Below are 23,924 nucleotides of genomic sequence, written 5' to 3'. Positions count from 1 at the left end.
GAAAGGTACTTCATGGCAGCCTAAATCATCAATACCATGTTTAGAAGGATGACAAGATTAAGGGTAAATAGAAGAAATTTCAAAGTCAGAGGAAATTTAGGGGTGTCTGGAGGAGAAAATACAGTAGTATAACCCCAGAACAGAAGAACAACCTCTCCTTAAATTCAAAGTTACCCGGCTCCCCTTAGAAACTAAGTCCTCTGCACTTTCAGTGAGCACACATACCTTAAACAAGGAGGAGAACACATGAAATGTATACACAGCACAGGAGCCATCTGAGTCACACATAAGCTGGTTGATGTGGCTGCGCCAGGCCTCCTCGGCATCGTCACAGGCTGCGGGCTGAAAGGCGGCAAGGATGGCTGAGAAGAAGGGCGAGGGAGGGGGAGAGACTCCCCTGTCACCTTCTCCAAAGCTGGAAAAAATGAAAACGACTATGTCAAGAAGTGATGTCCTTCTCATCCTATACTGGGTTTTATAAATTCTCACCCTGAGAGTCAGCAAAATGAGGTAGCTATTCTACCCACTCTTCCTTTTGAAGTTGCTTTGGGGACTTGGCTTTCATTCAGCAGTCACTGTGATTCTTTTTGGTCTGTTTGTTTGTTTTGAGTCTCGCTCTGTCGCCCAGGCTGGAGTGCAGTGGCATGATCTCGGCTCACTGCAACCTCTGCCTCGTGGGTTCAAGCAATTCTCGTGCCTCAGTCACCAGAGTAACTGGGACTACAGGCGTGTGCTACCATGCCCAGCAAATATTTGCATTTTTAGTAGAGACAGTATTTCACCATGTTGGCCAGGCTGGTCTTGAATTCCTGGCCTCAAGTGATCCACCCAGTTCGGCCTCCCAAAGTGGCAGGATTACAGGTGTGTGCCACCGCACCTGGCAAGAGGTCACGGATTCTTTCACGATTCGAGGAAAGAGAATTTGCACCTCTAGAATTTCTGGGATTCCTCCATTTCAGATTCCCTTTCTATAGACTTGGTACTTCTTTTAGCCTTCAGCAATGCCTCTCACTTTCACAGAGGCTATGCCCCAAAGTAAACCACAGTCCTATGCTTTGGCAGTTTCATTCTTCATTTTTCATTATGAAAAATTATATAAATTTTGAATCTTCTAATTTTTCCTTTCTGGAGGGAGAGTATTAATAAATGCATATGCACAAATGCCTGGAAGACAAAGGTGGAGGGAGACAAGGAAACCAGAGATACGCAGGGAAAGTGAGACAGAGAGGCAGGAAGAAAGAAGAGATAATGAATAAAAATGAAAGGTCAAATTCTTCTCTAGGTGTTACCTTAACCTTTTCCTTTGATGGACAGACATTGCTCACTGTAACAGAAGGCCTTTGTCTAGCATATCAGAAGCTTTTACTTAGTTCTTATTTTCAACTTTCAGAAGAGTAATTTTAGGATCTCAACTTTCTTTTCCTGAAGTAGATCTGTAGCATTATTATTTGTGATTTATTCTAGATGCTGGATTAATCTAACCTCTGGTGTTTATCTATTTCTCTTCACATTTTTTTTTTCTGTTTCTATATCTCACTAGTCTCAGAAATATCAGCCACCAGGCCAAAAGACACCCACTTAAAGAGTAGGTATTTCCTATATAAAGAGCCTCTTGTTCCAGGGTTTTAACTCCAAATGGAAAGAACTTATTTCCAAGGCTTGCCAAGTGTTGCTTATCTTCAAAGCTTACAAGGTCTGGACCATGTTTCCAGGCTCTTCCTTTGCTTTTTACGTTGCTTTCTGGCCTTATGAATTCATATGTAAGTGTTCTTTCTTTGTTCCACACGAGGCCCTATAATGGGATTGGATGACTCTAACTCAGCTGAGAGCCTGCCATGATATATGTCACTTTGGAGTCCTTTATTAGGATGTCCCAGCAGTGCAACTGTGACACTTAACTTGAGTGTGAATGCCATATAATGTACCATGCACATTCACACCACTCACATCAGCCAAGGGCTCCATTACCTCGCCAGGGTAAACTGGTCCAGTGCCCGATTGCCTTTTTCTTCCCCCTCAGTCATGTCCAGGCTAAAGCTGTCGCTGCATTCAAAAGCTGCTGGGAGTTCATTGATGGAACTAGAAAGATCATCCTCATGCACGGTGGTGTCCTCCTCCTCACGAACAGCTTCAGCCTGGAAGAATAAAAAGACAAAAGAATCCCCCAATGTGTAAGAAAACATACAGGACAACCTGTTCAACTAAGGAACAAATAAGAGAGACTGAAATGCTGATGGTGATAGAAATGGGGACATTTGTTTTCTAGCTACAGTATAGTCCGTTTCTAGGCTGGACTCAGGAATTCTCTGAAGTACTGTTCATTCTTTATCTTCTTTTCAATCTCTTCCATAATGGTCCCCAAAGGGGCTCTCAGTAGATTTTCGTACTTGGCCCATGCTTATAGGGTATGAACGCTAAACTTGGAAAAGACCATCAAGACCTCCAATCCAACCTCCACATTTTGCAGATAAGGAAACAATGCTCCACGTGGGAAAGGGACTTGTCTAATATCAGGTCCATACTTAGAATTGGAGCTGGGACAAGAAACACTTCTTTTGGATTCAGAACTCCTTCCATTGTCCAAACCCAGCCTTCTAAAGCAAGCCTATCCAGAGTTAATTCTCTAACATAGAACCCCTTTACCAAGGGAATGTAGAATCATCAGGGCCTGGCGCAGTAGATGCCCAGGATACCTGTGGTATGCACGAGTGATCCAGAGTCCTTCCCTGAGCCTGCTGGGTTGCTCGGTCTTTCCATATAGGGGATCCTCTAAGATCCATTTGCATGTATGCTTTACCCTTGAGAATACCCTCCACAGATAACAGATATGAGTATCTGCTCTTACCTGACTACAAAATGTGGAATGAGCAGGACAATGAAAGGGCTCTAGGGCAGGCAGAACCAGGATCAGTGAGAGGCAGGAAAGAGACACAGCAAGTAAAATGGAAAAAGAGGCTGGGTTTGGGCCTGGGCCAGGGGGAAAAGGAGGACTGATTGTTCTTTAGGAGAGGAAGGAAGGCAACTGGATTACAGATCAGAAGGGAGAGGAAGAAAGATGTACATGTTACAGTGAGTCATTTTCTTAAAACAAAAACAAAAGCAAGGCAAAATAGAAGTGTATATGAATTAGAGCTTTATCTCAAGTTAACATCTGTCCACTCAGTGTGTAAATATATATATAAAATATATATATTATACTTTGACTCTAGAATTAATAGGGAAAATTACCAGGAATGGTAAAAATATATTAGGGAAATAAGATATCTCATGTCTTTGGAGGAATTGCTGGTAAATACTGAGTTTGAGAGGTTTATCCATATTTGCTTTTTAAAACTACAGTGCTGCCAATGAGGCTGGCCACTGGTGCCTGGTCTAGGTTATTAGTGTACATACACTTAATCCATTAGAGAAGGGATGAGTCCTTATTAAAATACATTTTATTTTCTCTAATATCATAGCTTTATCAAACACTGCAGAAATGCAACTTAAGTGAAAAACAGGGATAGCTCTTCAGAAATGGGACTCGACTTTTCCTTGGTAGGATGAGATCTATTACGTAGGTATTACTTTTTTTTTTCGAGATGGAGTCTCGCTCTGTCGCCCAGGCTGGAGTGCAGTGGTGCGATCTCAGCTACCTGCAACCTCTGCTTCCCGGGTTCAAGCAATTCTCTGCCTCAGCCTCCTGAGTAGCTGGGATTACGGGCACCGCCACCATGACCGGTTAATTTTTTTGTGTTTTTAGTAGAGACAGGGTTTCACCATCTTGGCCAGGCTGGTCTTGAACTCCTGACCTCGTGATCCACCCGCCTCGGCCTCCCGAAGTGCTGGGATTACAGGTGTGAGCCAAAGCGCCTGGCCTTAGGTAGCACTTTCTATGAGAAATCTATATGTTTTTAGCATTCAAAATAGAAAAATGGAGAAAATGACCATATTGACATTGAGAAATATCAAATGCACATATATTTTGTGATTTTTTTCTATGAAATTTAATTTCATAATCTTAGAATTTTAACTTAGACAACTTTTCTTTCTGGGCTTTTTGTTTTTTGTTTTTTTCTTTTGGCTAAAAAAGAACTCTGCTAATTCCAAGAATCCTGATTGTAGTACCTTTGCAATGAGGCAATCTTAGAAATAATTACTATTTAAGCTTCAATATTTTTAGGTAATTGTAATTTGGTGATTGCCCTTGGTTTAAAGCACATAGATTTTCCTAGATTTCTGATCTATTTTTACTATGCTATCAGAGAATATAGAATAGCCAATATTATATTTTTCCATTAGAAATGTCAGAAGGAATATACTTTTATGAAATTTTTTCGATTTTATTTTTTCTTTTGAACTTGCACAACCATAACCAAACTCATGATAGACAGTGCTTGACTCTATCTTAATGGTAATAGATTATTTTGGTATTTCTACTATAAGGAAATACAATTCTATACTGATGGGCATAGATGTGGGCATAGCATGCAAGTGGATGGTTTTCAGGACATTTTAATAAAATAAACTTTAAATGAAATATACACTGTTAGATTTTTTCTAATTAAGAAAATTACATCCATTAGTTACTTTTCTCCTCACAGACTCTGGCAAGAAGAGTTTTGTGCGAATCTGGCATAAGACTGTGATTGACATTAAAAATTCTGATAGTATGCCAAAAGGCAAGCACTGAATCAATGTACAAATTGTATAATTGTTTCCTACAAAGGAAAAAATTCCCCAAATATGTGCATACACCCACACCTCACTTAGCATATTGTTTTATAAAATTCATGACAAAGATCAGCAGTTTCCCAGTCACAGCCATCTCAGACATACACCACTGGTTTTGCCATCCACCAGCAGTGTTCATGCAAAATGTCTCATTTTAAAAAGACCTCAAATCAAGTCTTTCAGCCAAGAAGATGGCTGCTCAAGTTTGTGGGGGTAAAACAACTTCAAAACATAGGCTCAGGTGCACAAACTTCTATTATTTTAAAAAAGAGAGAAAGAAAAAGATAAAGATAGTCTTTCTACTTGAGACCCCTTAAGAATTCTCAGAAAATTGGAAGTGTTTTTTTTTAAGGGTTTTAAGGGAAGTACAAATCATCATTGTTAAAATCTCTTCACCTTTGAACCCTCAGAAATCTGCAGATTATTCATATCAGGCAAGGAAGCATCAAAGCTGGACATTCTGGTGTTAAAGGAATGAGGTTCTGCAGGGGTCGAGTCACAGGCTGTGGTGAGCAGCTCCATGGGATTCGTCTCTTCAGAGGGGGAGAGAGTCATGATCTGTTTAAAAAGCAAAGGAAATTAAACATAGTATGAAGTTCCCATTCTTTAAAAGCTCCATTTATTCTCTAGTTGTTGGTTAATACGTCTTAATTTTTTAACTTCCACATTTCACCATTATTGGGCCTTAAACATAGCAGCTAGTAATCCAGGTATTTTCAGAAAATCACATCAAAATGTCTGTCATATCTCCACACTTTAGAGATCTGGGGAATTTTTAAAAAGATTCCAGAATCATAAAAGGTATTTGGGAAAAATCTAGGCCTTAACAGATCTGGTGGCTTTCAGGGTGAATCACATGGACCCCAGTCTTTGTTTCCATCTGCAACCTACAGAGAAGACTCTGCCAGCTAGAACCCGTATGACACCACCTGACAGTTCCGATTTTAGTTCAGCAGCTGTGGAAAGTTTCCTTAGCTGCAACTGGAAACTGTCCTCCTGCATTAGTTACAAAAAATAAGCCTCCCAATTCTTAGAGTGGGAGAGCCGCTACTTACTAGGTCTGAGTGCTCCAGGATCTGGCTGGCTGTGAGGTCCTCCTCCTCGGATGATTCATCGGAGTCCTCATGGTGCATTTTATTCAGGCTAGGAGTGCTTCCTGACAGTTGGCGCTCCTCCAGAATCTGCATATCACACTTATCCAGGCTGTCCAGAGAACGTCTGCGCACTCCCCAGTTGAAATTGTCCATACTCTCACCCTGAAATCACACCATCAGCCGGTTTTTTATGCCAAAATCCTCTTGCACTCACATGTTCACACATTCAATTAGTCATAGCTTGGGAACAAATATTGTCATTATTAACTCTTAGGCCCTCATCGACTTTGGTATCAAAACTTTTGTTTACCCAATGTGAAAAGTAGTAAAAGCACACTATTTTCATGTAAACTCATGTGAAGTCATAGGCAGAAATGATTACATACTTTTCTTTGGCATGGTGGGTAATAATTACATTTTTTAAAAAGTTGATTTTGGTAAACACTACCAATGATCTGTGTTTTCAAAAATCTGTAACAAAGAGACCATTAGTATGAAAACTTCAAAAGAGGTGTCACCCACTCCCACCACCCTGAGGTCGGCCCCTGTTTAGTACTGTTTTCAGAAGGAGAAAAAAGTAGGAGCTATGCTGCTTGTAGCACATTCCAGAATCCTTTGGGTATTTAGTGGAAGAGCATTAGGTAAACATTCCAGCCTATTTCTGCCACAGCAATTTTCACAGATACAATGCAGAGTTAAAGACTATCAGAGCAGCTGGGCAAAGTCTGATGGATCATGCACTATGCAGAGGCCAGAGCAGCAACACCTTAACTTTTGCTTTAGGCTCATCTTTAAATAATTGTCCCGGTGTAGAAAATTGTTAATTTCACTATGTTGGCCAGACTGGCCTTGATCACCTGACCTCATGATCCACCTGCCTCGGCCTCCCAAAGTGCTGGGATTACAGGCGTGAGCCACCACATCCAGCCTATTACTGTTTTTTTGTTTTTTTCTTTTGAGACAGAGTCTTGCTGTTGCCCAGGCTGGAGTGGTGCAGTGGCGCGATCTCAGCTTGCGGCAACCTCCACCTTCTGGGTTCCATGTCAGGCTAATTTTTTGTATTTTTAGTAGAGACAGGATTTTGCCATGTTGCCAGGCTGGTCTTGAACTCTTGACCTCAAGTGATCCACCCGCCTCGGCCTCCCAAAGTGCTGAGATTACAGGCGTGAGCCACTGCACCCGGCCCCAAATATTATTGTTGATTTGTATATTTTGAATTACCGAGAACTAGCTTAAGTGGCCATGTAAGTGTTAAAGAAAGCTTTTAGTTGCATTCAGACTTTCTCTACAAACCATCAGTTAATAAATAAGTGTATTTGACTAACATAACTTTTTTTTTCTAGAAATGGATTTGGGTTTTATTTTTCTTTCTGTTAGGAATAAAGGAAGAAAAATATTACTCAGCTGACTGATATGCAAATTTTAACCTAAACAAATGATCTGACAAAATCTAGTACAGAATCTTTTCATTTACTGGTAATTTGAAACACTGCCTGATGGTTCATTGGAATAAAATAAAACAACTTTTTCTGATGAGAGCTCAGTGAACAACATAATATGAGAGATGTGAGTTACTGTTAAACTTATGAGCATTATCATTTATTAATTTCCCTCTGTTTTAAAGCAGAGGGTCGTGTCTGTCTCCTAGTGAAACAAGCTTGCCATTCTCACAGATCTGTCATATAACAGAGGCATAGCTTTTTCAAAGTCTGCTTGGGCTATTCATGGTAGAAGGCAACAGGCACAAATCCTAAGCACAATCTGGATAAGATATAGAAATCATCATTATTCATCCTCACATATGATATTTATGATTGCTCTTAGGGGTGTTTGATTATAAAAAAGAATGCAGACTCAGAATATTGTTTCTAACATCCAGTATCTGCTATGATAAATTACCACCATATGTTTTTTTCTTTTTTTTTGGTAGAAAATGGCTAACTGTTGTACTGGGATTTTAAAAATAGCCACAGCAGTGAGAAAATAAAACAATATATGAAAGAGGCAAAAGTTCTGGGAAGAAAAGGAAAATCCAATGTGTAAAGAAAGGAAGAAAATACAGAAAAATCAGAATACTAACTATGCAGAGTAAAAAGAGAAGAATGTGAAAATTATAGGGACAAATATACAAACACAAATTCAAAAAACTGACTCTCTTGTGCCAAATGACTGGAAGGGTTGGATGAACTATCTTAGGCAGCGATTCTGGAGGTCTCCCACGCTGCACTTGAGACAGAACCATGAGCTTGCAGAGGAATACAGACATCCAGGTGGGAGAAGGCTATACCAGGCACAGGTCACTGCTAGTGCTGATTTGGCGGCAGCTCTGGTGAAGACCTGAATCAATCAGGTGTGAAAATAGGGAGGCAGGGAAAGCTGTTCTTGGAGGAATAAGGTTTGGCTGTCTTGCTGGAAGGTGTAATATCTCCATTAGAAGCAAGGGTGTTGAAATGGTTCCCCTGGTGGTGGCTGAGAGGTTGAGATGATGGAACAACATTGCAGTCTGGACCCAGGTAAAGTCCATGGTGATTAAAACTCAACCAGGCTTTCTCAGCATGGCCCTAGTGGGAGACCCACCCTCCATCCTTCCTCTCCCCCAAATGTCAGATTTGTATTTTATGTTACATACAAAGTGAAAAGTCAAAGCAGTTTCCTACATGTGAGAAAATGCAGAGGATGGCTAGTCCAGATGAACACTCTGTATATGTCAGTTCAAACTTAAAAACCACTGAGGGTTTACACTGAGATGGGAAAGTATTAATGATTAAACATTCTATAAATGTTAGAAATACTATTTTTTGACACTTTTTTTCATATTGGAACTCTGTCAAACAAGAATTATTGTTGAAGAAATTTGGGTGCATTGTGGTCAAAATATACTCCCCCAAATGTTCTACTTAGAGTAAGTCTGATATACGTAGATAGAGACTGATCATAGGTCACTTTGCCCAGGATGATCCCGGTTTTAATGCCTGTGGTTTGGGTATAAATATTATTAGTACCCCCTTTTACTTTTAAAAGGGCCCTGGTTTGGATGAAAAGTTATCTAGTCACTACACAAAGATAGAGATAGCCTTTAATTCCTGGGGGAAAAAAAGATTCAACTGAAAGTATGTATGGTATATAGTTAGATGCAAATTGTTAATTTCACTTTTTTTTTTTTTTGAGACAGAGTCTTGCTCTGTTACCCAGGCTGGAGTGCAGTGGCATGATCTTGGCTCACTGCAACCTCTGCCTCTTGGGTTCAAGGGATTCTCCTGCCTCAGCCTCCCAGGTAGCTGGGATTACAGGCGTGCACCTCCAGGCATGGCTAATTTTTATATTTTTAGTAGAGACAGGGTTTCGCCATGTTGGCTAGGCTGGTCTTGAACTCCTGGCCTCAAGTGATCTGGCACCTCAGCCTCCCAAAATGCTGGGATTACAGGTGGGAGCCATGGTACCCGGTGATTTCAGTTTTAATACAAGAATTTAACAATAAAACCCATCCAGTTGTGCAACCACTTGATGAGAAATGATAGGATTGCCATAGATCAGATTTGAAAACTCCACTTCTCTGAGATATAATCATGCAACTTTCAGAACTAGGCATATAAAGGTTTTAAAAATGTATTTACATTTTAGAAAACATTTCCATACTAGAGCAGCCAAGAAAAATACCTCTTATATCACACACCTAAATGGAAATATGCACGCAAATAAGCATATATATTCTGGAAGGGAGGAAAAAAGCAATTATGTTGTTATAAATCTGCAAAGATGCAAAACATCTACTAGCATATTTGAATTAAAAACAGCATCATCTTACCTGAAGTTCCTGGGTAGCAGATTGAATGAGCAGAAAAACAAACAAAAGGTCTATTTACAATGATTATATTAAAGATACTCAAGAACATTTCTCTTAGTGTTAACACAACATTAACCAACAGTGCTAACAATATACACTTCAGTAGGTGCACCTTAAAAGAAAAGGTAAATATACACTAACTCCAAAGAGAAAAATCAACATTAAACATCAGAAATTCCAAATCCTTTGGCTGTGGATGATAGAGCTGGGATAACAAATCATTATTACAATTTCTGAAATAGCTTTCTACCTCTGTGACAACTTTGGTCTCCTCAACACTTTTTTGGAATGCCTAAATATGTATTCGTGAGAAAACTGTTAAATGTTATGGAAACATGAATGAGGGTCATCAACTGGAAATAAAGGTGGCATCACCTGAGCCTGTTCACAAAGCTAAAAGTGTTTGTGATCATGATGCTTACTGTTCATATGCAATTAATAGCAAAGACACAACACCTTTTAAAGATTCTAAAAAGTTCAAGGGCAAACTCTTGCAGATATCACTCAGTAAATTCTGAGACCAATGAAAAGGAATAGATATGACAAAATGACTTGTCTTTCTTTTTTTGACAACTGTGCTTTGATCTAAACGCCAAGTATGCCTAACTTTATCAGATGAAGATATACTAAAATTATTCACCAATGACAGTACAAGGAGACTCACATTTACAATGCCAACTATATGCCTGACACTTTGCTAGACACTATACATTGGTTATTTTATTTAATCCTCATGTCAGCTCTACAGGCAGGTAGAGGTTGAGTATGCCTTATTCAAAATGCTTGGGACCAGAAGTGTTTTGGATTTCAGATTTTTAAAAATTTTTGAAATATTTGCATATACATAATGAGATATCTTGGGGATGGGACCTAAGTCTAAACATGAAATTTGTTTATGTTTCACATACACCTTAAATACACAGCCTGAAGATAATTTTATACAATTTTAAAATAATTTTGTGCATGAAACAAAGTTTTGACTGCATTTTGACTATGACCTGTAACATGAGGTCAGATGTGGAATCTTTCAGTTGTGATGTCATGTTAGTGTTCAAAAAGTTTAGGATTTTGGAGCATTTCAGATTTTGAATTTTCAGATGAGGAATGCTCAACCTGTATTCTTATACCCACTTAATAGACAAAGAAGTGGAAAGCAAGAGGAATTGCATCCATGCTTAAGGTCATATAGCTAAGGTCAGTGGCAGAGATGAAATTCAAACCTGGAGCTGTTGGACTCTGAAGTTCAGGCATCTTCACTCTTCTACTCCAAGAATGCTAGAATCCCTTATTGTGATTTTATTGGGAAGTAGCAAAACATTCTCAAATGCCTTATTTTATTTGGATAAAATGTACACTCTCAGCCCCGTGAGTTTCTTCTTCTAAATTTTTTTTTTTTTTTGGACACAGGGTCTCACTCTGTCATCCAGTCTGAGTGCAGTGGTGCAATCACGGCTCACTGCAGCCTTGACCTCCTGGGCTTAAGCGATATTCCCACCTCAGCCTCCCGAGTAGCTGGGACCACAGGCATGTGCTATCACACCTGGCTAATTTTAAATTTTGTAGAGACAGGGTCTTGCTCTGTTGCCCAGGCTGGTCTTAAACCCCTGGACACAAGTGATCCTCTAGGATGCCTCAGCCTCCAAGAGTGCTGGGATTACAGGTGTGAGCCACTGTGCCCAGCCAGTTTCTTATAAAATCTTAACAATGAAAGATAAAATAATCACTGTGATTTTTTAGTTATTGCTGGCTAGGACAATAAAGAGAAGACCAGAAAAAAAGGTGTAGTATTCCTTATTTCTTGTCCCTGAAAAACATTAGTATAATATTTATTTTTAAGTAACGGGCATCCCAGATTTTTCCTTCCTTTATTTTGATAGAAACTAAATTTGTGAGCTGTTCTGAAATTGTGTCGGATTACTTCGCTTTACATCATTCCTGCTAGGTCGTTTCACATAACATTTTTCTCTGGCCGAGACAGGAAATGATGCCTCTCTTGCTTCATCCGTTTTTTCCCTCCCTTGTATAACTTCCAGAGGGAAACAGGTGTCCAAGCTTGAATTTTAACTGAAGAGCAAACATTAGGTCAGTTGTCAGATCAGGGAGCTGGTCTTTTGACACTAGCTGAACTCTGAGCTCTGTCTCAGAGACATTTTTGAAAGTATTCAAAACAGTTGTATTTTGCTTTAGACTTAAAACAATCTTCACTGCATTCAGTGAATGCTTTCTCTATCATTTATTATGGATCACAGAAACCTGCAATACTTTTTATTGGTTCTTAAGCAATTCAAGGTGAAAATTAAGCTGGCAGTTATTTTAAGGATACATGATAGCAGTGCCTTTATACTGCTTACGGACCGGATCTGCTCAACTTGTTTTCCAGGGAAAGAATTGGTGAAGAACACCTTCTTTATTCCGAGGACATGATTCTCTCCTGCTGGGGCAGACATCCAGGGTCATCAGTGGGCCAGGAAGGACAAAAGCAAAGGGCTCTTTGGCTTCAATTAGACATAGGCGGGTTGGTCAATAATAAAATCCTTTTAGGGAAGGTAAGCAGCTACTTGAAGCATCATTTCCCACAAGCCTGTAGTTAAGTAAGGAGGTGCCTACCTACTGCAGGAAATCCTAAACTTGGGATCTAGGCCTGCCTCTTCAATTGTAGGACTAGCAGAGAGTCGTTTGGGAAATCTGGTGCAGTTAAACATGAGCTTGACAACACCATGAGCCCGGTTCCGAACGAGGCACCTTTGCATCATCCAGTCTCACTTAAGTGAACTGAGTTTTGATCCCATGAGGCAAAAGACGGCCTCTCAGGTGGAACATGCCTCTAAGCTACTGAAATGAAGGTGACTGACAGGTGATGCTCCTCCTCTCAATACCTGTTTTTGCAAACATGATTCATAGCTGAAAGTATCTTATTACCATGATTATCATCCAAAATAAATGAATCTGCATTTGCCCACTGAGACTTGAATTTGGCTGCTCCAGTGTCTAGAACACCAGCCACCGAGCTAAGCAGAGCAAAGAGCTCTCTTGTGTGCATTGCATTTTGTTTCCAGTTCTAACGATTTCATCAAGCACAAAAATGTTTGATCCCTCAGGCTCTGGTCTCATGTTGTAGCAGGCAAGCTTTGAAGGAATTGAATTAGAGAAACTTCACATTAGAAATGATTAAATGCTTAGCATATTTTACCCAGGTACCAGTGAACAGGCTAAGAACTGAAATGTTTTTTGTGATTTTTTTTTTAAGTCCAGCTTGGGACTACACACACACATACAGTCTTTGTGTGGTCATTAAAACTCAGGTCTTTGCCGTTTAGAAATAACTTGGCAGCTTTTGCCGTGGGCTCAGACAGGAAGGGTGTGGTAACTTTTGCCAAAGTTTAGCTGCTGTACTTTGAATAAGTTGATTCAAAATAAAGTTTACAACTTTCCAATTAAAGATCTTGTTACAAAAACTCATTATTTAGCAGGTAAAAAGAATAGTTTCATTAGTCAAGGAAAAGGGTGCGGGGATTATTTTTACAGAGAATACACCGTACCTCTCCATCCTCCAGCTCCACATCTAGGAAGTCGAAGTCTCTGAAGACTCTAAACTGCTGCTCGCTGTTTGTGTCATCCATGTTCTCCTGCTCTCGGGCACCGTCCTCAGAAGATACCAAGCTTGTCTGGTGCTCAAGCAGATCCAGATCCCCACACGATGAAAAAATCACCTGCGAATCAAGAGTCCTCTCCTGAGAAACCGTTCTCCCTTTGGTTGTTTGTGCTACGAAAAATTGTAATTGGCTCTTCATAGCACCGTATTTCCAGTACACACCTAATTCCTTCAGTGGGTATTTTTAGAATGTTCTTTTATTATTTATGTTGGACAGGTGCCTTCAGATTAAACTCGTGGCAAAGACGCAAGTTCATGCACCAGGAAAATGTTCAAGAATCACGTCGCTGCTTTTTAATGGATGAAGACTGTATACTACCTGTGTGTGTGTGTGTATGTGTGTGTGTGTGTAAACTGGAGCAGCCAGGAAAATGTTCCACTGTTTCTGAACTGATTAGAGTTAGAAATTATACATGTTTACACACATATATCAAATACACATAAATAATATTTTAAGGACTGATACCAAGATATATTATTGTAGAATGAATGTGGGAACAAAGGATTTAACTCTTTTAGAGATAAACAAGCAATTGATAAGAAATAAAAAAACAGAAGCCAAAAATTACAATACTTGTCCATAGAAGAGTAGGTGAGTAACCAGGCCCATAACTTATACTTAAATTCCTCTCCTGTAGGTTTAAACAAAATAAAACATTTTTTTACTATTAAAATCTTTAGTATGTTAATGTTTTAAGATTAACTTCTATGTTTAGGTTCTTTTCACTGACCCATTTTGGTAGAACTTGGTATATAATAAACTGTAAATGAGAGTAAATGTTTTGCTATCCAGCCTCTACTGAACATAGATAGATATTAAAGAAAATTAATAGTATTCTTTGTATAACCATTATAATGTCTTAGTTGTCCTTGAAAAGTAGGCAAAATCATTTATAAGAATTTAAATACGATAAACATCTCTCAAAAGTAGAAAGAATGAATGGATTTCAAGTGTACTTTTTTCCTCTAGTGTTTAAGAATAGTATATGATGCATATGATAGCCTCTCATTATAGCACCTGACACACAGTTTTACATAGGGATTGCAAATGGGTACATGAGATAAAGAGCCCTGAGGGCTAGTCAACTAGTCAGTGAGAGACGAGACATGAGATTTCTGATTTCCTCAGCTGAAGGCTGTCTTTCCTAGTTAGTGCTGCTTCTCTTATTTGTAATGTACTCCAGGTAAATATTTTAGCTGAAAAGGCCTTAGCACAGGGCAGACAGGATGAGTCTGAAGGAGAAAGTGCCAACCACAATGACGATAAGAAGTAGGCCTTGTTGGCAGTGCTGCAATGCAGAGGAAAAACATACTTGTGTCTCTTCACTGTGGGCTAGGAGTCTCTATCTGCCTCTGCCACTGTCCCCTCTGTCCTAAATATTGTCACAGGAGCCGCAGAAAACCCACTGATCAATAACACCAAAAAAGTGACTTAAATGGAGGCCCAGCTTAGCTGATGGCTGGCTGGGGTGCTTTCCCAGACGATAAGAAATATCACTTTGTACTTTAGCAAGTATTTATGAGCCTCTAATATTTCACCTGCTCATGAACTATGTGTTAGTAGATCCATTTTGAAATTTAAAAATAGCTCCACCGAGAAATGTGTTTGCTAATTCTTACTTCAGTTGAGAAATTAGTTTGTTATTTCTTTTTCATAAATAATAAATATTCTGTGATACAGGTGAAACAAAAATACCTGGTGAAACTAGCAGACACTTCTATTGTTTTTGTTATACTCCCATACCTAATTCAATTTTTTCTAAATTTTATAAAAGCTTCCAAAGTTTACTTATAATTATTCAATCGTCCATTCATTCAAAAGCTTGATGGTATGATTTTTGTTTTATTCTTAGTTTTTTATTGTAACATCAGTGGAAGTTTATATGCAAAGAAACATTATTTTCATCTTTATTGTATGTGGGTAAGATAAGGACATGAGAGTAAGAAGCGTGTGTACAGAGAGTAAAATTATATCCAAGAGATATGAGCATATATGTCATACATGGTGGTCAGTGGAGATTATCATTTACGTTGTAAGACATTCTGGGCATATTTATAAAAAAAAAATCCAATAAATTAAAAAAATGAAAAGAAACAGTATTCACAGACAAACGAGCAAACAGCCAGCAAGATCTTTCATTGTTTCTGAACTCAGTGTGATTAAAAATCATGGTGTGGGGAGAAATAGTCCAGGGGTTTGCTCAAGACGGTGGCTATCATACTTGTCATTCACAGTTGAATCCTCTAAATTATATGACCAAAGGCAAAAACAGACCAATGAAAAAGGAGATATGACACCAAAATAACTATGACACATGACAGAACTTACTGATGGATTTTTGCTCAATCCTACTTCTTGGCCACACAGAGAAAGGACATGTACCAACTTCTCTTTTGTTCTCTTCTGGAAAAGAAACACAAGGCAGGTTTCATTATGGGTTCCTGTGAGCAAATCTGCTCTAATTTTCTAGCCACTAGCCATACAGGGCAATAGCACTTAACGTATAGACAGAATGAAATGTAAAATACACAAAAGTATGAAAAAAGAACACAAATAGCAATTAAAAATTGTTAAATATTGAAAACATGTTGAAATAATATTTTAAATATAGTAGGTTAGGTAACATGTATTATTAAAATTAATTTTGCCTGTTTTTCCTTTTTTTTTAAGGGTAACTATTAGACAATGTAAAATGAAGCTCACATTATGTTTCTGCTGGACAGTGGTGATCTAAGTTATCCCAAGGGGTGTATATATGTGTGTATGTGAAAATAAATCCCTAGGTTCTTTAAGGAGATCTATCACTTCCTTTGATAATCTTTTCTTATATGTTAAACTTTCAGTATTAGCAAGGCTTTCCTTACACTTTATTAAGTTACAGCATGAGTCTCTTTTTCTCAAATAGAAGAATACTTTCTGTAGAATGAAAAAATTCATTCGTTTTAAGCCATATTAAATCTTTCTTAGTTTCTTCTTCCTAAAGTTAAACAGATTCAGTTCCTTTCCTTCATAAACCTATTTTCCAGCCCCTTGACCATAGGGATTCTTCTATAAACCATTACATTTTTCCAGTGGCAGATAACCCAGGTCTCAGAATGATTGGTGAGTTGAGAATTTTTAAAGCAATCTTCCTAATCTCTTTAAAATGATTCTCCCCCCTTTAATCTGATTTACGGTTTGTTATGTGGAAACTGCTAGGAGGCCAATGCCACTCTTAGATTTTTCTTCTTAACGGAACTCAATTCACTGCATCCTTCTTTCCAAATTATAGAGGGGACAGACACTCAATATGGTGTCTGCTCAAGGTCAGAGACAGGAGGACTTTGAGGTTAAGGAATGGCAGAAGACTCGCTAAACGATTTTCCTAAGTCTTAGTGGTCATTTTACAATTCTGGGAAGGAATCAATGTAGAGGAACACATTGGGCTGTATTTTCTTCTCTCTTCCAATGAAGTTTTCAGCTGAACACTCACTGAGAACCTGCTCTGTTGCAGCCGGCACTATGCTACATGTTCCATTCCCCTAACCTTTGAGAGAGAAGGTGAGTCCTCCTGGGCACCCACTTTGTCCTTCCCAGCACCCACTTCACCTTCTTCTGGTAACACTGTCCCTCTTTTTATCTCGGAAAGGCTCCATTCCCACTAAGTGAGGCTATGCCTCCCTCGCATGTCCTGCAAGATCTTTCAGAATTGCTAAGGATGTCAAAAGAGGAAAGGCCTCTGTCGCTCTGAAGTCATCAGAGCCAAAGACCATGTAAACCTGGAGCTGCCAGAGGTCATCTGGGCCTCCCATAGAAAAACCCTGCCTGAGAATGAAGTCACTGGAGGGGAAAACAAGGGCCAAGATGTTGGGAAGGGAAGGTGGGGACAGTGAGGAGACAGCCTAAGAATCCAGTTTCTGACATCTGTGAACTAGGAGCCAACTGTGCTTGAAGCCAAGATGAGTAAGTTAATAAGTTTCTTTACCACAGAAGGTAATTTTTCAGTGGGTTTCTGTAACAAGTCAACAGAAGACCCCTGAATAATGCAGAAGTTTTACTTGACAGGAAGCCCAATGGCATCTCTGCTATGCTGTGATGACAGAACTACAGAGAATCTGGCAGCAGTACCCCCGCCCCTTGCCATCTGCATGGCTCAGCCCGTGCATGGACACCATGGTTGAGGTGCCTGTTCCGTGGGCAGCAGACAGGGTGGTCTTTGGGTGTGCAGCCCTATCAACCCTTTGGGAGTCCAAGTGCTATAGAATTGGTTGGGAGAACTAAGGATGTGTTGTTTGGCCTCATTAGGAGAGTGGCAGAGGGGCAGAATTTCTGAAGGGCTGCCATGTGAAAGAGAGACCAGATTTTATTTTCTAAGCCTTGAGAGAACTGGAACCAATGGATAGAAGCAGCAAAGAGTCAGACTTCAACTCAAGGTGATGAACTGTTCAAAGAGCAAATGGGTTCCTTGGAATGCCACAAGACCCCATCCCTGGAAGTGCTGAGACCTATATGGGCAACCTTGGGATGGTGAGAGGGAATCCCTTATGACCCAGCCACATGGACTCAACAGGTCCCTAAACTCCCTCCCAGGACTGTGGGTCTAGGATTGCATACCTGAGAATACTGGGGCCTTTTCCAGCTCACTGGAACAAGGACGTTGGAGTTGGAGCCTGAGGAAGTGGAAGATGTGCTCCGGGTGACGGCCATGGCCCTGGGCTTCCCATCACGCCCAGAAGAATTCTGCAGCTCATCATACCGCCTCCCGATGATTGGAGTCTTGAGAAGAAGACAAACGCACATTATTCTGTCTCAATGGTTTTGTGATATATGAAACCCTTCTCCCCAGAAGCAACCAAGAGCTGCTTATTTGATTAAAAATCAGATTAGAGAAGTTCAGTGTTACAAGTGGGCTCATTTTCTCAACATGCAAGTACACATTATGAGTCGTTTTTCATCTTCAACATTTCCTCCCCTCTTTAGCGGCAGAAAAATGCAACTGCTTGTTCTTTAATATGCTTTAGAAACCACTGACAAAGGGAAGCAAAACATGCAGGAAACCAAATAGTCAGTTTTTGATTGTTTAAACTTGAAAAAAATTTCATATAGTTAGAACAAGAGACCAAAATTCCTTTCCCTCTCCCAACTTTTAATCATTAATCTTTATATACTCTCAATTATTTAAAAATGTATTTAACTTATTTATATCTTTTCAATTATTCAAATGACTGAGGTCAGGGCCAGGTACTTGGGCAGCACTTGAGAAATTTCACTTCCTGAGAGCTCCAGAGTGTGGTGGCTGCATAGGCAGCAATTCGCAAACTCAAGCTCCGAGCAGGCCTCCTCTGCAGACACCAGCTCATGGGCTTGACCTCGGCAGTGGCAGAAACTGTCAATTTTACACCTGGCTCCTGAGACCCATCATTCTGGGGCAGTTCTGGGTCTCTGGAGCATGCTGCTAACCAGCTGCATGTTTTTTTGTACCTCTTTAGAACACAACAAACTCAAATTGCAGAGAAAAAATAGCTTTTCCCCCTAGCCAGGTTAAAAAAAATGTGAAAATGGACCAAGATTAAATTGAAACCTTAATATTATTTACATATTAAATATAGATGCAGGTGTCACAATGGTAGCAAATAGTATCTCATCCTGAATACTGAAATGATGAAAGGTCAGTGAGGACCATTGTATAAAAAACCCAACTTGGATATGACCTACATAATAGTGCAAGTAAGTTCCATATAAGCACACCAGGTTTATTTCTTTTTTTTTTAATATACTTTAAGTTCTGGGGTACATGTGCAGAATGTGCAGGTTTCTTACACAGGTAGACATGTGCCATGGTGGTCTGCTGCACCCATCAACCTGTCATCTACATTAGGTATTTCTCCTAATGCTATCCCTCCCCTTGTTCCCCACCCCGTGATAGGCCTCGGTGTGTGATGTTCCCCTCCCTGTGTCCATGTATTCTCTTTGTTCAACTCCTACTTATGAGTGAGAACATGCAGTATTTGACACCAGGTTTATTTCTTAGTGAATTTATTCATTCAGCAGAGTTTTGGAAATATTTACTAGTGATCTACTAATGCACCAGATGTTGTACTGAGCCCTGGTTATAAACAGGAACAGAGTACAGTTTCTGCTTTGGGGGTTCATGAGTCATGGGGTAAGAGATGTGAAAGCAAAGTTATTTTATACCTTAGACTTCAATATAAGCCTCCCAAATATTTGTTCATGGACTATCAGGTAAACATGACTACTTCCTGTCCTTTCTTTTCTTCCTGACTCCTTAGCTTGGGTCCCTAGTCTTTTGCTCCTCCCTCTCTCTCCCCTGCCCGCTTCAAGGCAAGAATTTAGTTTTACTTGTTTAAAAAATAGTGTGGACTGGGGAAGCAACTATAAAAGTGGAGTCTATATTCCTGTAAATTTCGGTCATCTGCTGAACTGGCTGTCATTCAGGGAGAAACATTGTGGATATAAAGACATGACCATTGTCAGATAAAGAATGAGTGAAGGTCATGGTTTAAAATGCTTATGATCGTTCCATTTTTAAATACCTCTTTTTAAAATCATTTTTTACATAACTGAGGCTAGTTTCTATTTTTAAAAGCTGCCAACTGAGAGTCCCAGTGAATATGACACTCAATGGGTTCTTTAAAAAGCAAAACCTAATTTAGCCCTTAGAAATCTTCATTTGAAATAACTGTCAAATAAGTCTTCTTTTTTCCAGGCAACTACTTTTGATCTTTGCTACTACAAATTCATGCTAAAGTTCACAGAAATAGTTAACATAGCTAAGTACCTCCGAAATATCGAAGTGGAAGTCCAGGGTTTTCCCAGGTAATTCCTTGGAAGCACTAGTCCACACTCGATGTATTTCTATTTTTGAGAGGTCACTGTGCTGGTATGAAGGTAAAACAAGGCTGGCTGACCGAGAAACTACCAGCTTCAAGATATTCAGAGCTTCTCTCCAGTGAACACTCTGCAGGAAATAAAACATTCAAGGGTTAAAAATAATTTAATTTTTTTAAAGCTAATGTATGTCAGAATGACCAGTGAGAAGCTAGTGACCAGTCAGAATTCACTGACTTAAAACAGCGCAGCAGGTTCCATGAGAAGTAAAAGGCAAATGACATAAAAAGACAATGTATATATAAAAGGAGCTATGTTTAGGAGACAAACAAAAAAGACCAATTTTGTCCATTTCAGCTAAATTAAATTCTTATTAATGAGGTACCATTATGGTAATGAGGCACCTCCTTAATTTGAGGGAAAAAAAAAAGCTCCCAATGCATTTTATGACACTGACTGTTCAGTTCACTCTTTCTTAAAGTTCTCCCCACCCTCCGGTTTCCAGTCTTCTTGGTCCTCCTTCTAGTTCTCTGGCTCCTCCTGCTCCATTTGCTTCCTGGGTACCTTGATCTCTGTCTTCAGCCCTCTTTTCTTCTCACTTCTTGTCTTCCTCATTACTTAACTCAGGAATCTGGAAGCCCTTCTTAACCCTTTCTTTCCCTCCCTCCTGGTAATCTGTTCCCTCCACGGCATTCCTGCTGGCACTGGCTCAGCGGCACCCTCTTGGGCCTTGCCTGGACTATCTCAATGGCCCCTTACTGGTGTCTTGGCTTGCAGCCCTTAAGTGCATCAGATCCAGCTAGAGTGATCTTCCTAGAACTCTTCAGACCAAGCCACTTCCCTGACTAAACTCCTTCACAGACTCCCTCTGGTGGACAGGGTGGAGTCCACACTCTTTGAGCATGGCCTGCAAGGGTCATCTCCCCCAGGCTGCTGCTGGAGTTCCCCAAACTTGGCAAGCCCTCTCAGCCTCTGTGCCTTTACTCATGCTATGCCCTCATCCTTGAATACATTTCCCCTCCTTATTGGCATGTCAAATTCCTACTCTTCATTTAAGACTCAGTTTTACCATCTTCGTTTCTCTGACAACCTCCAATCAGACTGTGTGCCGCTCCCATAAAAATATTAGAAACACAGATAAACAAATTTGATGAAAGTTGTTATTATTATTTTTTGCCTGGACTTTGCAGTCAAAGCACATGAAATAAAACATCTATTAAATTCTGCGCAAGGGAAGCCATGGTTTAAATGTGAAATAAGCTACTATTTGAGTTAAGATAAAAAGTATCAGACGTCGCCCGCAGGCCTAAGACAAAATGGACAGCCTCATTAAACAACAAAATGGGGCACACATTCGTAGAAAGGTGTCAACTGACCACCTGTCTCCTGTGAGTGAAGTGAGAAACTGTTAACTGACTGCCTACCCTATGTGGTGTAAGTATGATGCAGCAACGCCACTTGAAAAATGCTTGGAAGTCACTTTCAGCATCAAATAATTTCTGTAAGTAATTTGGTGAAGTAAAGATGGAAAGGAATGTCTAAAATTTATACGGTATATCTTCATCAATGAGCTTCCAGAGAGAACCTAGCATTTGCCCTTGAATCCTACAAGTTACAAAGTACATTCCAGAGAAGAAATAGACAAATACAATATAGAGAAAAGGATGTCTATGCTCTTGAGCTAGGCGCTCTCTACTTAACCCCATCGTGGCCCTGCACTACTCCCATGGCCTGGAGCCTCCCTGCTTTAGTCTGTGGTCATGTGTTTTAGATTAACTTCCAGGCTCTAGAAACTCGTCCTGGTGTGTTTGAGCTATCTTTCCATCTATCTATATTCCTATCTTCCTATTTATCACTGTTGGCCGGGTTGGAGTGCAGTGGTGTGATCACAGTTCACTGTAACCTCAACCTCCTGGGCTCAAGGGAAACTCTCTCCCCAGCCTCCTAAGTAGCTGGGACTATAGGTGTGCACCACCACACCTTGCTGATTTTTAAAATTTTTTTTATTTTTGTAGAGATGGGGTGTCACTTTGTTGCCCAGGCTGGTCTTGAACTCCTGGCCTCAAGCGATCCTCTTGCCTCAGCCTCCCAAAGTGCTGGGATTACAGGATAAGCCACTGCACCTGGCCTTGATATTTATTTTTATTTTCATTAAAATAAATTGTGTTTCTGGTCTTCTCAGAGTACGGCTTTAAGAATCAATCTGGGCTGGACGTGGTGGCTCATGCCTGTAATCCCAGCACTTTGGGAGGCCGAGGCGGTGGATCACGAGGTCAGGAGTTCGAGACCAGCCTGGCCAATATGGTGAAACCCTGTCTCTACTAAAAATACAAAAATTAGCCGGGCGTGGTGGCACACGCCTGTAGTCCCAGCTACTTGGGAGGTTGAGGCAGAAGGATCGCTTGAACCCGGGAGGTGGAGGTTGCAGTGAGCCGAGATTGTGCCACTGCACTCCAGCCTGGACAGAGCGAGACTCAGTTTTGAAAAAAAAAATCAATCTGTAGCTGTTTGGAGATGTCCAAGTATCCTGCCAGGGAGGCTGCCTGGTACAATAAAACAAAGACACTGGCTTTGGATCCAAATACCAGCTCCAGCCTTTACTAACTGAAATCTTGGAGCCAGTCTCTTGGTTTTAAAAATATACATAAAGACTGTTTATTATGGAAATATTAAAATATACACAGAAACCGAGAGACTAGTCTAATGAATCCCTTTGTACTATTCATCAACTATTCACATTTTGTCATCTTGTTTTATTTATCCCCTCAAACAAATGTTTTTTGTTTGTTTGTTGCAGTATTTTCAAGTATATTTCTGCAAGTTTCTTAACCACTCTTCAACTCTAAAGTGACAGTTTTAGCCTTTGAATAATCCTTCACATGTTGAAACACCGGGCCTAGAACCCGGCACATGTGAAAGTTCCTACAGTTCCTTGTCCCCTCTCCTTCTCTGAAACGGGATAAAAAAACCAAGACTCTGCCTCTGCCCTCCAAGTCAGGCGTGTGCTTTCAATACTCAGCCTGTGGCCCCAAGAGGCGGAAATGTGCCTTTTAAAGGCACCGGAGTGTGCCGGGGTCTTGTGCTCTCATTCTCTTCAGAATACTACTCAGGGTGTGGCCAACTCCCACTCTTAACTGCCCTGGCTGTGCCATGGATGTCAAGGAATGAATGAGTGGCCTGGCACCCAGATGGTTTTGTAGCCAAGCTACAGGAAAAGCCTCCATCTTTTTAGAACGACTGGTTGCTTAGTGAAGTTATCCAAGTACTCACTTGCACATATTTTTCAATTGTCTTCAGAACTTCCACATTGAACTGTTTGACAGGAACGACAGAAAGGTCCATGTAGCTGAGAAGACTGTAGATCACCTGGAGCAGGGGCTGCTGCACACTAGGGAGGCCCTTCTCCAGCAGCTGTGGGGGCAAAGTGCGGCTGGAGTCAGTCACACACCAGATCTCCGTATGGAAGGACCCGTGTTTTCCAACACATTTAGGATTGCACATTTCCTTTTTATTTTTTATTTTTTTAGGAGATGGGGTCTTGCTATGTTGCCCAGCCTAGTCTCGAACTCCTGGCCTCAAGAGATCCTCCTGCCTCAGCTCGAAAGTATCTGGGATTATAGGCAAGAGCTACCATGCCTGGCTTGATTGCACATTTCCTTAGGAGGGGAAATAAAATCCTAACTATGAAGAACTGAAGATATTATCAAAATAGACTATATCATGTGTGGAGGTGTAAATATGTAAGTATAAAATTCACATGAGGAAATATTTAAAAACACCTAAAAGGAAAGC

The 23,924-nt window shown here is 40.2% G+C and overlaps 1 protein-coding gene across 6 annotated transcripts in view, besides 1 other annotated feature; it reads right to left on the bottom strand.

Annotated features, from left to right (window-relative positions):
* Window positions 1-23,924, bottom strand: part of FRY (FRY microtubule binding protein) — a 267,352-nt gene that overhangs the window by 31,541 nt on the left and 211,887 nt on the right. For 4 of the 6 annotated variants that reach the window (XM_047429999.1, NM_001411012.1, XM_006719749.4 and 1 more), the window contains 10 exons: window positions 23,403-23,543; window positions 20,083-20,262; window positions 17,898-18,059; window positions 15,633-15,707; window positions 13,191-13,361; window positions 9,613-9,621; window positions 5,769-5,969; window positions 5,110-5,271; window positions 1,969-2,135; window positions 226-415 (listed from right to left, as the gene is read on the bottom strand). In XM_047429999.1, coding sequence (XP_047285955.1) covers window positions 226-415; window positions 1,969-2,135; window positions 5,110-5,271; window positions 5,769-5,969; window positions 9,613-9,621; window positions 13,191-13,361; window positions 15,633-15,707; window positions 17,898-18,059; window positions 20,083-20,262; window positions 23,403-23,543 — 1,458 coding nt within the window. The remainder of the gene's footprint in view (window positions 1-225; window positions 416-1,968; window positions 2,136-5,109; window positions 5,272-5,768; window positions 5,970-9,612; window positions 9,622-13,190; window positions 13,362-15,632; window positions 15,708-17,897; window positions 18,060-20,082; window positions 20,263-23,402; window positions 23,544-23,924) is intronic. The other 2 variants (XM_047430000.1, NM_023037.3) reach the window with 1 other exon arrangement.
* Window positions 12,760-13,959: an enhancer, noted in NCBI's record as "CDK7 strongly-dependent group 2 enhancer chr13:32827763-32828962 (GRCh37/hg19 assembly coordinates)". NCBI's record gives its function as "activates an origin of replication core promoter dependent on BRD2, BRD4, P300/CBP, MED14 and CDK7 cofactors, with strong dependence on CDK7, by STARR-seq in HCT116 cells {active_cell/tissue: HCT116}" and the evidence as "EXISTENCE:reporter gene assay evidence [ECO:0000049][PMID:35650434]".

The sequence above is a fragment of the Homo sapiens genome, chromosome 13 (genome assembly GCF_000001405.40).
Source record: "Homo sapiens chromosome 13, GRCh38.p14 Primary Assembly".
Lineage (NCBI taxonomy): Eukaryota > Metazoa > Chordata > Mammalia > Primates > Hominidae > Homo > Homo sapiens.
Note: the sequence above shows the minus strand (reverse complement) of the source record. Positions and strands in the feature narration are given on the sequence as shown.